The following is a 14,089-nucleotide window of genomic DNA, read 5'->3' on the forward strand; positions in this document are numbered from 1 at the left end:
TTTAGTTGTTTGGTTCTTTTAAATGAACTTACCCACCCACCTCCTTAATTACAAAGTAATTTTAAATTGCAGAATAAAAATCTCAATAGGAACCAAGGCATTCAGCAATATTGATTTGAATTATGCCTGTAATTGTGCAATTTTCTCCTTTTTGAAATACTTATTAAAAATCTCGTTGAGTTAAATGTGAGGATTAGTCATACAGCCATCCTGCCAACATCAGAAAGCGTGTAAACCGTTCTAGTGTGTTGCTGTGGTTGGTACTGACTGAGCAGAGACCCCTGCCGCATCTTGGGCTTTTAAGAGCTGCTAGGAGGGCGTCCACAAGCAGGAAGGAAAGCCCATGGTCAGTGGGGCTTTTTAGGGGAAATGGTAGCTTGTGATTGGAGAAAAGCTAGAGCTAGTGCCTTTGTCCTCAACCCAGATGGTGCCCGGTGTTCCTTCTGCAGACTAAGACCCTGCCAGCGGCGGAGGCACCTCAGACGGGATGGCAAGATAGCAAAATTGAACCAAAATTTAGTCTTGGGTTTTGTAAAAGTCTTTTTATCTTGATGAAGTTAGCTTTTCCTACAGAAATTCTGCCTGCAAGCAGCATATTTATCGGCATTTCAGATAGGCTTTTTTTCCTGAAGAATTGGAGTTTACGAAGGAACAGCATAATCAAAAAATTAGCAGAAAAAAGAAAGAAATTCGTGATAGCCAACTGAGAAATGTGTTTGGAAAATAGATGCTGAGGATAATTTCAGTAAAGTCCAGAGAGAATTTTTTAACCTCATTTTGGCCAGTTCTGTGGTGTTTTGATCATTCTGTATTTACAACTGCTTTCAAGTGACGAACTTATCAGACTTATTTTGCTTTTGGTTTCTTTTTATGGCCCAGTGCACTGACACAGCTTGCAAACTGTTCGAAAGCAGTTTAATCAGAGGAAAAAGAAAACCAAGAAACTTCAATAGTTACTGGTTAACTGCTTACTTCAGGTGAAGTTTTTCAAATCCCTTAACATGAACATCCAATATATTGTTCTAGGACAAATTGATTTCTTTTCTTTGAATGGATTGTTCTGAATATGTTTAATGGTGTTCTAGAAATACATTATTTAGGCCATTATAGTAGTAAACCTTTGCTTTGCTTCTTGGGATAATTGTAACAACAATGGCATTCCATTCTGCATTCCTCATGATGTTTTTCCTGATTTATTTGAAAAATTGTGACTTGTTTTTTGATATGAAACCTGGATATTAATATTAGTTGGGAGTCTCAGAGATTTTTCCCAAGGGTCTTTAGATAGGGGGGCAAGTCCAGGATCCAGAGCCAGGCCGGCCGACTTGAATCCTCTCTGAGCTCCGTCTTTCCGTGGGGTTAGTGAGGATTCTGTGGGTAATGTTTGAAACCTTTGGTGATGCTCTTGAGAACCAGGGCTCACAGCCTATGCACAGTAACCATGTGTGAACTGAATTTTTTTTTTTTTTTGAGACAGAGTCTCACTCTGTCACCCAGGCTGGAGTGCAGTGGCGCAATCTCGGCTCACTGCAAGCTCTGCCTCCCGAGTTCACGCCATTCTCCTGCCTCAGCCTCCTGAGTAGCTGGGACTACAGGCACCTGCCATCATGCCCGGCTAATTTTTTTGTGTTTTTAGTAGAGACGGGGTTTCACCATGTTAGCCAGAATGGTCTCCATCTCCTGACCTCGTGATCCGCCCGCCTCGGTCTCCCAAAGGGCTGGGATTACAGGTGTGAGCCACCACGCCCGGCCGAACTGTATTTTAAGTATCCCTGTTTTTAAAATAATAAACACTAAAATTCTAGTGAGAATAATTACACGCAGTTGTAAAAGAATCAATGAGTATACCCTCCCTCACCCAGTTCATTTTCCATGAAAGCAATTCCTGTTTCTGATACTGACTCCTGGCATTTGTAATACCTCTGTTTCTTTAGCGGATATGCAGGTGCATTTTTATCAGTTTTAGACTTCTTGCCTAGAGAGGGGATTTAGTTCACTTAAACTACCCTGCTTCCGCTTCTTCCTGATACAGTCGTGCGTTTTTAGGTTCTTCGTTGGCTGCTTTTGTGATTGTGTAGGTTGTACATGCAGATTAGTTTCTTGCTCGTGATTTATAGGTGCGTTGTATTAGATGAGGACCCCTTACTTTGCTAGATTTCGGATATGAATGTCTCTGCACTTCTTACTTTTCCCCTCCACCTCCTAATTCAGTCATCTGAAATTCTGTATTGTTAAGCAAGGTCTAAGTATTCCTTTTAGTTATATGTTCCCCATTTTTTTTCTTGAGGAAATGTTTGATAGTTTCTCCTAAAAAAATTAACAATTGGCACAAAAGACTAGTTTTGTGTCAAAACTAGTTTTGAGTTTTATCTAAAGACTGAAATTGGCTTAAAGTTGGGCTTTCCAAATTCAAAAATCTGCCCCAGATTAGATTTAGATTGAGAGGGTTAGTGTCCTTTTCGCCAGGGGGATGGCGTGATAATTTGTTCAAGATTGTGTTATAGTAGCTGCCCCTTTTAAGCCAGCTCTGTGTGTGTGTGGTGGGGGGTGGGCAGTGGGTCTTCCACATCAACATCCTAGAAAGAACGAATAAACATTGAGTGATCTCACTGTTTCTACTTACATTTGGTATAATATACTGTTCTTACTGGTGCTATTACTATGTTAATAGGGCACTTTACAACATTTTCAAGAACATTTGTATTAAAATTATTTCAAAGACTTCTTTCTTAAAATATGATTTTACCATGCAAAAATTTTACTAAGGTAGAAGAATATTTGTTCTTTCTCATTCATTTTCTGAAAAAAGAAAAAAGCTGAATTAGCTTATACCAATAAAAACAGAGACTAGAAATTGGAGAAATGAAGAATAATTTTTTATCCCACATAATAAGTAATTTCTGAATTGCAAGTATTTCTAAATACTTGAAGACATTCCTCACATCCCCTCTTCTGATTGCATTTATTTCCTAAAGCTTTTTTTTCTTTTCTTTTTTTTTTTTTTGGAGACGTTGTCTCTCTCTGTTGCCGAGGCCGGAGTGCAGTGGCACAGTCTAGGCTCACTGCAGCCTCTGCCTTCTGGGTTCAAGCGATTCTCCTGCCTCAGCCTCCCAAGTAGCTGGGATTACAGGTGCCCGCCACGACGCCCAGCTAATTGTTAGTAGAGATGGGGTTTTGCCATGTTGGCCAGACTGGTCTTGAACTCCTGACTTCAGGTGATCCACCCACCTTGGCCTCCCCAAATGCTGGGATTACAGGCATGAGCCACCGTGCCCAGCCCCTAAAACTATTCTTGATGATATTTCTGAGACTATTCAGTGGTCTTCTCAAATGTAGCCAGCAGAATGGAAAACGTATCCCCTAAATGGCTGGCCAACCTTAGCATATGGACAGTGTCACCTCTCTCACACAGAGCCACTAAAAACTAAACACCAAAACCAGTTTTCTTGGGTAAAGTTTTCTAAGATGGAAAATTTAAGCAGCAAGATGTGTCAAGTTGTAGATGTTGGCCAGGAAAAAGCCAGCAGCAGCCAGGCAGGGGAGAGTGTGCATCCGACATCCTCCTGTGTGATGAAGGGATGACACCTCGTCCCTCTAGGCTGTCAGCTTTTACTGTTCCAGGATACAGATCTCCTGATTCAATGTTGAGTGCCTTTTGAACTGACCACAAGCCCTCCTGGACGATTGGAACTGTAATGTGGAAAGGGCTATGATGGAGCCAGTTAAAATGCTTCATTACTTGCAAAATACCACATACAGTAATACAATATACACGTCTTTCCCCTTCTCCACTAAGTAGCATACATTAAGACTTCACAGAGGAAGTGTGCCTTTTTCATTTCGTATCTGAGTCAGTGAGTATCCTGTTTGGAAACAAGCTTCATCCTGGTTTTCTAGAGTGCCAAGTCAGGGTGGAAACGAGGACCTGGGGGCTCAGTCCTTCCTTGCCCCTTGGGCTGCCTTCAGGGTTAAGTAGAGGGTCCCAGCTGAGCTCTCTGGATGCACAGGAGCACCTGGGTACATAAGAAGGTGAACAGTTTGCAAGGGGAAATTACTATCCCCCACAGCATTTGTTCCTTCAGGACACTAACCCTCTGGATCTGTGTCTTCTGTGTCTCCAGTGGCCAACAGTGTTGCAAACAGGAACCCGAGGTTTTCACTTCACTGTTGATGGGAACAAGAGGGCATCTGCTAAAGTTTCAGATTCCGTAAGTTCATGCTTTTTGTTCCATTATAAATGATTTTTTTGGCTTAGGGGGTAAGGATCTATACCAGTTTGTTTTCATATGAGTCATAGACATAAGGGAAAAATTTCTCATAGGTATCCAATGCATGCTGAAATTATTTTCAGTGTAATAATACTTAATTGCAAGTACAAATATAAACATAGATGTTTACATTTTTACTTGTATCTGTTATGTATCTATAAACTAGATTTAAATTTAGATCAAGTAAAGCAATAAATTAAAATAAAATGAACAGTGTCTGCTGTGATAGATGATAAAATTCCTACTGAAAATAGGACGGTGGGGCCAGTGAACAGTATCTGCTGTGATAGATGATAAAATCCTACTGAAAATAGGATGGTGGGGCCCCTCGGGTGTGGGTTGCTTTGTATTTAGTGAGCCTATCTCTGTTGAAAAACTGAAACTTGCTGAGAAGTTGTTTTCTTATAAGCCCACAATAGCGACTGAATACTCCTTGGCACCTTCTCAGGCATAAGCATAGGCACGGCCCTGAAGTAGAGTTGTGGTCCTCAGTCTGACCCCATGGGATAGACCCTCTACCATTCGTAGAATCTGATTGTCAGTCCCTTCTCCAGGTGCGAATGTGCCCACCTCTCCCCGAACTGTTCAGGGCTCAGCCCCAGGACAGGATGGAGGCCCTGTGTGCCCAGCAGTTGCTCCTTTTATCTTTGTCAAGCTCTTTCACTGTCACAAGATTCTTCATGTTTGGCATAGTGGAACATGTGATTGACAGGTGAATTTTTCTTTTCCAGATTTCTGCTCAGTATCCAGTAGTGGATCATGAATTTGATGCAGTGGTGGTAGGCGCTGGAGGGGCAGGCTTGCGAGCTGCATTTGGCCTTTCTGAGGCAGGGTTTAATACAGCATGTGTTACCAAGCTGTTTCCTACCAGGTCACACACTGTTGCAGCACAGGTAAGAGAAAGGTGCCCCACTGTGCTCCCACTCCGTGCAGGTCCCGCGCAGCCTCGCACTTTCTACCTGGGCAGCCCCCTGCCTCCTCCCCCTGCTCCAGCCACATGGCCTCTTGCTGTGCCTTACTCAGCTCACCCTCTCAGGGGTCTCTCCCTGGAGCCTCTTCCCTGGGGACTTTGAAGGGCGGGAGACTTGTTGTCACTCCTAATTCAGACTCCAGTCACACTTGGGTTTTCTCTGACCATCTTGCCTACTACCTTCCCCACCTACCCCCGCCACCCCAACACCTTAAGAAAAGGAGATCACCTAAAGAGGAGGAATCAGAATTTAGGTTGGGGAAGAAAAGGGCAAGGGTTTCATTTGTCCCTGTGCTTCTGTCTTCTGGGACTCTCTGAGGGGTAAGACAGTGGTGGGCACACACAGCCAAAGGAAGCTGGGGTACAGGGGAGTGCGACTCTGAGTGTGGAGTTTATTACTTGGCAGGAAGCACTTCTAGTCTTTAACACATGCCCGTAAATGCCATTGGGAAGATTTGTTAATAAAATTATCTGGAAAGATTTGTTGAGTACCTTTTCTGTGCCAGATAGGTTAGGTTATAAGCATATTACAGGTAGCCTTTCACTCACTGCTCCAGTCAGCCCTTCCTGGAGTTCCCTGTGTCTCCACCACGCAGATGAGGAGACTGAGGCTAAGGATGGAATCACTGGGCGAGTCGGGGAGGGGTTGTGATCTGGAATCTGTCGGGTCTCGCTGCTCCTCTGCTGAGGTCAGCCCTCACTGGGAGTCACTGTGTGAGTAGTTGGCTTTCTCTGAATCCCCCCAGCGGGTGGATTTGGGCCTGGAAGACAAAGTTGGCGCTCCTGTTTGTGGCTTGTAAGGAGTGGTTGGTGTTTCCAGGGAGGAATCAATGCTGCTCTGGGGAACATGGAGGAGGACAACTGGAGGTGGCATTTCTACGACACCGTGAAGGGCTCCGACTGGCTGGGGGACCAGGATGCCATCCACTACATGACGGAGCAGGCCCCCGCCGCCGTGGTCGAGGTGATGGGCGGGAGGCTCTGGGTGTTCTCGTGGTCTGTTTCTAGTACAAAAGAATCCTGGAAAAAAATGTAAGCAATTGAGGCGGATGTGGCAGCCAAAAGAATGGTGATGAGCAAAGTTCACAAGAAGAGTCTTTTTCCGTTATGAACTATGCATTATATGTAACAAGAAAACTTCTCTTTGATGAAGTGTTGACATTTTCATAAAATAGGTTACTTTGGGTTTGCAGATTTGTGTTAAACTTGTTTAGTGTAGATTAGCTGCGAATATCTTGACTCCTTTAAGGTGTTAAGGTTTTTGTTTGTTTTTATCTTTCACAGCTAGAAAATTATGGCATGCCGTTTAGCAGAACTGAAGATGGGAAGATTTATCAGCGTGCATTTGGTGGACAGAGCCTCAAGTTTGGAAAGGGCGGGCAGGCCCATCGGTGCTGCTGTGTGGCTGATCGGACTGGCCACTCGCTATTGCACACCTTATATGGAAGGGTAAGGCCGCCCCCGTCCACCTGAGACAGGACACGTAGTGCTGGGGCTTATGGTGACAGTGGGGAATGGGTTAGCGTGCCCAGTGAGTCAGCCAGAGATTACGTAAAAAGCAACAGAGAACAGCAGCGTGGGGCGCATGCAGCGACTGTGGATGTGACAGGACCAGACGTGTGCCTTGAGGAGCTGTCCCTAAGGCAGTGTGTGACTTCTTGCATCTATGTCAGAAAGTTGAATCGATAATCTTACATACCAGGTTTTAACTTGGGATATGTGACACTCAACATACAAGAGCAGAGCAAGCAGGCCAGGCACAGTGGCTCAGGTCTGTAATCCCAGCACTTTAGGAGGCCAAGGCAGGAGGATCACTTGAGACCAGAAGTTTGAGACCAGCCTGGACAACATAGCAAGACCCTGTCTCTACAAAAAGTTTAAAAATTAGCTGGGCATGGTGGTACATGCTTGTAATCCCAGTTACTCAGGAGGCTGAGGCTCCTGGATCACTTGAGACCAGGAGGTTGAGGCTACAGTGAGCCATGTTCGTACCACTGCACTCCAGCCTGGGCAACAGGAGACCCTGTCTCAAAAAAAGAGAAAGAACAGGCTGGGTGCGGTGGCTCACGCCTGTAATCCCAGCACTTTGTGAGGCCTAGGCGGGCAGATCACAAGGTCAGGAGTTTGAGGCCATCTTGCCTAACACTGTGAAACCCCGTCTCTACTAAAAATACAAAAAAATTAGCCAGGCATGGTGGCAGGCACCTGTAGTCCCAGCTGCTTGGGAGGCTGAGGCAGGAGAATGGCGTGAACCCAGGAGGCGGAACTTGCAGTGAGCCGAGATCGCACCCCTGCACTCCAGCCTGGGCAACAGAATGAGACTCCATCTCAAAAAAAAAAAAAAAAAAAGAACAAGTATTTTAAGTCTCTTTTACCACCTCTGAGTTCCTGAATGGATTGGTTTTGTTTGTTTTGTTTTGTTTTGTTTTTGAGACGGAGTCTCACTCTGTCACCCAGGCTGGAGTGCAGTAGCACAATCTCAGCTCACTGCTACTTCCACCTCCTGGATTCAAGTGATTCTCCTGCCTCAGCCTCCCGAGTAGCTGGGACTACAGGCGCACGCCACCATGCCTGGCTAATTTTTTGTATTTTAGTAGAGACAGGGTTTCCCATGTTGCCCAGGCTGGTCCCGAACTCCTGAGCTCAGGCAGTCCACCTGCCTTGGCCTCCGAAAGTGCTGGGATTGCAGGCGTGAGCCACCGCACCCGGCCATGGATTGTTTTAATATTAACTGTTAACACTGAAGAAAGACTTGAGGTGACAATAGTTACTGGGTAATCAGAGTCAACTTTGGCATGGCCAAATAATATTCTGAACGGTATTGATTCAGAGTAATCAATATTCTGAACTTTGTTGTTTTCTGATGCATGGGGACGGATCGTTAATTTGCAGGTTGTTAGAACACCAGTGACTTCTCTGTGGCTGAGTGCATCGACAAGTGTGTGGTGGGAGGAGACCGCGGCTCCATCTGGAGCAGGAGCTGTCATGTGGGGAGCTGGCCCAGGCTTACAAGAGCGACTTGTGCTGGCTGAGGGAACGGCAGGTCCAGGCGGGCAGCGCTGTCCGGCGCCTACCTTTCTGCGGTGCCGGAATCTGCTCGTCTGCAACCGTCCGCTTTGGTAGCTGCCAGCCACATGGGGCTGTTGCTAATGTGGCAGGTGTAGCTGAAGAGCTGAATGTTTTGACTTATTTTAATTAATTAAGTGGTTATGTGTTGCCAGTAGCTCCCATCTGGGCTGTGACTGCATGGTCTGCGGACCTCACTCTGGCACCAGACTCCGAGTGGAGCTGCATGCGGCCACCGGACAGTGTGGAGTGCCTCTTCGGGTTGTGTAGAAGTAGGAAATGTGTCACCAAAATAGGAGCTGTTGCTGCTGCGTTCTCTAGCACACCTGCCTTGTCTGTACTGCTCGGCGTGGAATGCCTCTCGGGCTCTGACAGTGTCACTGACACTGTTGCTGATCTCCTTGGATTTACCTGGTCCATTTGGATCAAGTTCTTTCACCTATTCACATGAGCAGATACCACCTTAAAACCTTAAAGTTTGGCTTAACACTTCTTGCCCTTTTTTTTTCCTTTCTTTTAGTCTCTGCGATATGATACCAGCTATTTTGTGGAGTATTTTGCCTTGGATCTCCTGATGGAGAATGGGGAGTGCCGTGGTGTCATCGCACTGTGCATAGAGGACGGGTCCATCCATCGCATAAGAGCAAAGAACACTGTTGTTGCCACAGGGTAGGAATCTCATTTCTACTTTATTTTGTTTATAAAAATGAATAAATTTCATTTAGAGTTTCTTTATTTTAATGAAAATAGAGGCATTGTAGAATAACGGTTTAGACACAGGCCTTGATATAACCATGTGAGGGTGATGGCCTTTCCCAGCCGTGGTTCCTCACCTGTAAAGGGTGAGGACAGGAGCACCTGCCTCAGGGTGAGAAAGCATGGTCCTCAGTAGATGGTAGTGGTTGCCCTCAGGTTCACAGCTTACCTCTCCCAATTTAGATGAGGGAACTGTGGCCCAAAGAGTCAACATGGGGTTTTCTGGCAAAATCTCTCTTGTTTTAGTGGGTACTGTATTGATACTGATTCCTCGGGTGGGTAAGTCCTTCTTCTCCACATGATGAAAATAAGTAACTTTAATTTTATACACTGTCAGTTACTTTAACCATTTTAAAAGTTAAAAAGTGTCAGTACAGCCAAACAAAAAATCAGCAAAACTACAGGTTGGGAAGAAATATTTTCCAAACCATATGTGTAATAATATCTTACTATCTAAAATAGCAAAAAAAAAACCCTACTAAAAACAACCTACTAAACCCTACTAAAAAACAACCCTACTAAAAATGGGCAAAGGACTTGAATAGATATTTTTCTAGAGAAGACATACAAATGGCCAATTGATGTATGAAAAAATGCTCAACGTCACTAAGCACCAGAGAAATGCAAATTAAAACCCCAATGAGATATCATCTCATCTCGCTCCAGTTAGAATGACTGTTACCAAGAGGACAAAAGAGCAAGTGTTGGTGAGGATGTGGAGAAAAGGGAACCCTGTGTGCTGTTGGTGGGAATGTAAATTAGTACAACTATTACGGAAAACTCTGGAGGTTCCTCAAAATTCATAGGACTACTATGTGCTCCAGCAACCCCATTTCTGGGTGTATATCCAAAGGGCATGAAATCAGAAGCTCAAAGAGACACCTGGACCCTATGTTCATTGCAGCATTATTCACAATACCCGAGATATGGAAACAACCTAAATATGTGTTGGTGTTTAATGACAATGTGGTGTGTATACACAACTGAATATTATTCGGCTATGAAAATGAAGGAAATCCTGTCATGTGTGACAACGTGGATGAACCCAAAGTCATTATGTTAAGTGAAACGAGCCAGGCACAGAAAGACAGATACTGCATGTCACTCATGTGGAATCTAAAACAGTCACAACTCACAGAAACAGAGTAGGACAGTGGTTGCCAGGGGCTGGGGGAATGCAGACTGTGGCGATGCTGATTAAAGGTGTAACTTCCCGTTACAAGGTGAAGTTCTGAAGGTCTAATATACAACATGGTGGCTATAGTTAACATTATACAGCATGGTGGCCAGAGTTAACATTATACAGCATGGTGGCTATAGTTAACATTATACAGCATGGTGGTTAGAGTTAACATTATACAGCATGGTGGCTAGAGTTAACATTATACAGCATGGTGGCTAGAGTTAACATTATACAGCATGCTGGCTATCGTTAACATTATACAGCATGGTGGCCAGAGTTAACATTATACAGCATGGTGGCCAGAGTTAACATTATACAGCACGGTGGCTAGAGTTAATATACAGCATGGTGGCTATCGTTAATATTATACAGCATGGTGGCTAGAGTTAACATTATACAGCATGGTGGCTAGAGTTAATATTATACAGCATGGTGGCTATCGTTAATATTATAACTTGAAATTTGCGAAGATAGTAGACGTTAGGCGTCTGTATCTCCAAAAAAAGGATAATTGTATGAGGTGATAGATGTGTATTAACTTGATTGTGTCATCATTTCACAAAATAAATCATCACGCTGTACACCATAAATATATAGTTTTTTTTTTAAATTCATCAATCATACCTCAGTAAATCTGGGGGAGAAAAAAATCCATAAAAATTTTAAAATTTTCATTATAAAAGTAGTATATGCTTATTGGGGAAACCTTTTGAACAGCACAAAGCTAAAATACAAATAGGGCCAGGTGTGCAGTGGCTCACGCCTGTAATCCCGGCACTTTGGGAGGCCAAAGTGGGAGGATCACTTGAGGTCAGGAGTTCGAGACCAGCCTGGCCAACATGGTGAAACCCCATCTCTACTAAAAATACAAAAATTAACTGGGCGTGGTGGTGCACACTGTAATCCCAGCTACTCGGGAGGCTGAGGCGGAAGAATCACTTGAACCTGGGAGCCGGAGGTTGCTGTGAGCCGAGATCGCACCACTCTACTCCAGCCTGGTCAACAGAGTTAGATCCTATCTCAAAATAAATAAATAAAATACAAATGGAAGTCCTTTCTTTGATCCCAGGCTTCTATCCTACCTGTGCAGGGTAGCAGCACCAGTGGCGCGGCCCCTAGTGATATGTGTGGGGTGTGCGTGAGTAGGGGGTTGTGTGTGCACAGCACTGAGAAGACGGTGCTGGGGGCTGCCGTGTCCATTCTGTGATCTCACCAGATAGGAGGTCCAGATGTGGGCCGCTGTGTGCAGTCACTGCTCTCTATTGTTTCCAGAGGCTACGGGCGCACCTACTTCAGCTGCACGTCTGCCCACACCAGCACTGGCGACGGCACGGCCATGATCACCAGGGCAGGCCTTCCTTGCCAGGACCTAGAGTTTGTTCAGTTCCACCCTACAGGTAGGGCAGGACGCCTTGCCCGGCAGGTGTTTGGCTTGTGTGTGTCTTGTAAGCATGTGATGCCTACTCATTGCTCTTCCATAGTTTTATGTAATAACATGGTTTTGAAGATCAGCTTCCTCAGCTCTCAGGTCCTAACTTCAACGTCATTTACCTAAGGAGACTTTTCCCACACTCCCCTTCCCCTAAGGCAGTTTGGGCCACCGTCTTATGTATTTCTCAAGAGCGCTAAACCCTGCCTTGGTGATACTTAAGCCAGCAGTAAAGCAGGGATTGAGGCCGAGCACAGTGGCTCACTCCTGTAGTCCCAGCACTTTAGGAGGCCAAGGCGGGCGGATCACCTGAGGTCAGGAGTTCGAGACCAGCCTGACCAACATGGTGACACCTCGTCTCTACTAAAAATACAAAAATCAGCTGGGCGTGATGGCGTGTACCTGTAATCCCAGGTACTTGGGAGGCTGAGGTGGGAGGAATGCTTGAACCTGGGAGGCAGAGGTTGCAGTGAGCCGAGATCGCGCCACTGCACTCCAGCCTGGGCAACAGAGTAAGACTCCGTCTCAAAAAAAAAAAAAAAAAAAGTAAAGCAGGGATTGTTCAGTGTCCCTCTTCGCAACGAGGTCGTCAGCTCCTCGGGCAGGCAGGTCTTCTCGTTAGCTGTGGTGCTCCATGCCCAGCACATGGTAGGGTCTCCACCGGGGTTTACTGAGTGAACATTCTGAGAGCTGGGAGAATGCCATGGAACCGAGAAGCAGCACAGGCAGACTTCAGCTTTGTAGGAGAACACGGAGCTTCTGTGACAATGGGATGTAAAGTTAGGACGCAGCCGTGACAGAACCCCATGTGACATTGGGCGCTGGGCTCAGCCCACGTGACCACTGAGAGAGCTTGTCGTGGGGAAGATGAGCTCGTCTTGGGGACGTCTGACGGTTGAGGTTACGAATGTGCAATTCGGAGACATTAACTCAGAAATGACAGTTGAAGTCTTGAGTTTGGAGGAGGTTCTTCAGAATGAGTCAGAGACAGACACACACCTGCCTCTTGTTTGAGGTGACTTGTCCTATACTTTTCTGGGTTGCTTTTCTGACCTGTGGACGATGGAGACCTCTGAAGTGGTGCCAAAGAACCAGACCTGTGTCTTCTCTTTCTCTGTCAGTGTCAGCTTTCTGATCCCTGGAAGGGATGAAAATAAGAAATGAATTTGTTGTAGTGTTTTTTTTTTATTTGTTTCGAGATGGGGTCTTGCTCTGTTGCTCAGGCTGGAGTGCAGTGGAGCAATCTTGACTCACTGCAGCCTTTGTCTCCCAGGCTCAAACGATCCTTCCACCTCAGCCTCCCAAACAGCTGGGACTACAGGCATGTGTTACCATGCCCAGCTAATTTTCGAGGGTTTTTTCGTTTTTGGTAGAGACGGGATGTCACCGTTTTGCCCAGGCTGGTCTCAAACTCCAGGGCTTAGGCCATCCTCCTGCCTCGGCCCCTCAGGGTCCTGGGATTATAGCCATGAGCCACTGCACCCGGCCTGTTGTATTTTTTATTACTGTTTTTAATGAATAAAATGTCACTGAGCCCCTGAATTCCCTCTGTAATTTGCTTAGAGCTCCACTGCTCATGCTTTGTCTTCAGTATGTGAGAAGTAACCACAGAAAAAAGAGCATTGAAACTTAGAAAATCAAAAGACAGACAAGAATCACATTCGTTTTTTAAAAGCAAGATTGCCCTTTTTGTATACTAATAAAAATTGTAGCTTTCGAAATACATTTAGTTTAGGGTTTTTGATCTCCTTTGTTAAAATTCGAGAGCTTGGCATGCCCTGTTTCTCATCGCACTGAGGAGTCACAGAGCCGCTGTTTGGAGCACAGACCGCCGGACTACCCAGGTTTGGGTTTGAGCTCTGTCCTCAGCTGCATGACTGGATGTTACCAAGTGTTAATTTGCTTGTCACTGAGAAAGGGGGTCGTACTACCCAGAGTTGTTGTAAGACTTAAACGAGTTAATATGTGGAAAGCAGCTAGAACTGCCCATAGCAAGTGCAGTGTAAATATTATCTAAAATAATCATTATTACTGTCCTTGTCACTGTTTGGATAATTTAGATATGAATACTTCAAGCTAGTATTCTTAACTAGTCACCACAGTATCATAGTGCAAAAGAATGTTCAAAAATTAAAACAAAATTTGAGGCATCCAACGTACACTGGGCTGTAATCAGAGTATTGGCCAGAGGTCTGTGGGCCGGCCTTTCTCCTCTCTGGGGACACCGCTCTGCCCCAGCCTCTGCTGCAGCTGTCAGCCTTGTCAGTGCTTTTTGTTATCCAGACTTTCTACTGTATCTTAACTGTCTTGCTGTGCAGTTTTGCACATAATGCCTTCTGCTTATCTTTTTCCTCTTTCCCCCAAAAAATGTCTTGAAAAAAATAATGCATTTGAAATAGAGATCTAGCAATTGTTAG

General features: G+C 45.1%; 1 protein-coding gene across 7 annotated transcripts in view; it reads left to right on the forward strand.

The window, feature by feature from the left end:
* Positions 1-14,089, forward strand: part of SDHA (succinate dehydrogenase complex flavoprotein subunit A) — a 50,427-nt gene that overhangs the window by 1,041 nt on the left and 35,297 nt on the right. For 5 of the 7 annotated variants that reach the window (XR_007058614.1, XM_011514072.3, XM_011514073.3 and 2 more), the window contains exons 2-7: positions 4,122-4,208; positions 5,000-5,161; positions 6,059-6,202; positions 6,523-6,687; positions 8,825-8,973; positions 11,516-11,640. Coding sequence is in view for 6 of the 7 variants with exons in the window: in XM_011514072.3 (XP_011512374.1) it covers positions 4,122-4,208; positions 5,000-5,161; positions 6,059-6,202; positions 6,523-6,687; positions 8,825-8,973; positions 11,516-11,640 (832 nt within the window). In the remaining variant the exon portion in view is untranslated. The remainder of the gene's footprint in view (positions 1-4,121; positions 4,209-4,999; positions 5,162-6,058; positions 6,203-6,522; positions 6,688-8,824; positions 8,974-11,515; positions 11,641-14,089) is intronic. The other 2 variants (XM_047417467.1, NM_001294332.2) reach the window with 1 other exon arrangement.

The sequence above is a fragment of the Homo sapiens genome, chromosome 5 (genome assembly GCF_000001405.40).
Source record: "Homo sapiens chromosome 5, GRCh38.p14 Primary Assembly".
NCBI classification, from domain to species: Eukaryota; Metazoa; Chordata; class Mammalia; order Primates; family Hominidae; genus Homo; species Homo sapiens.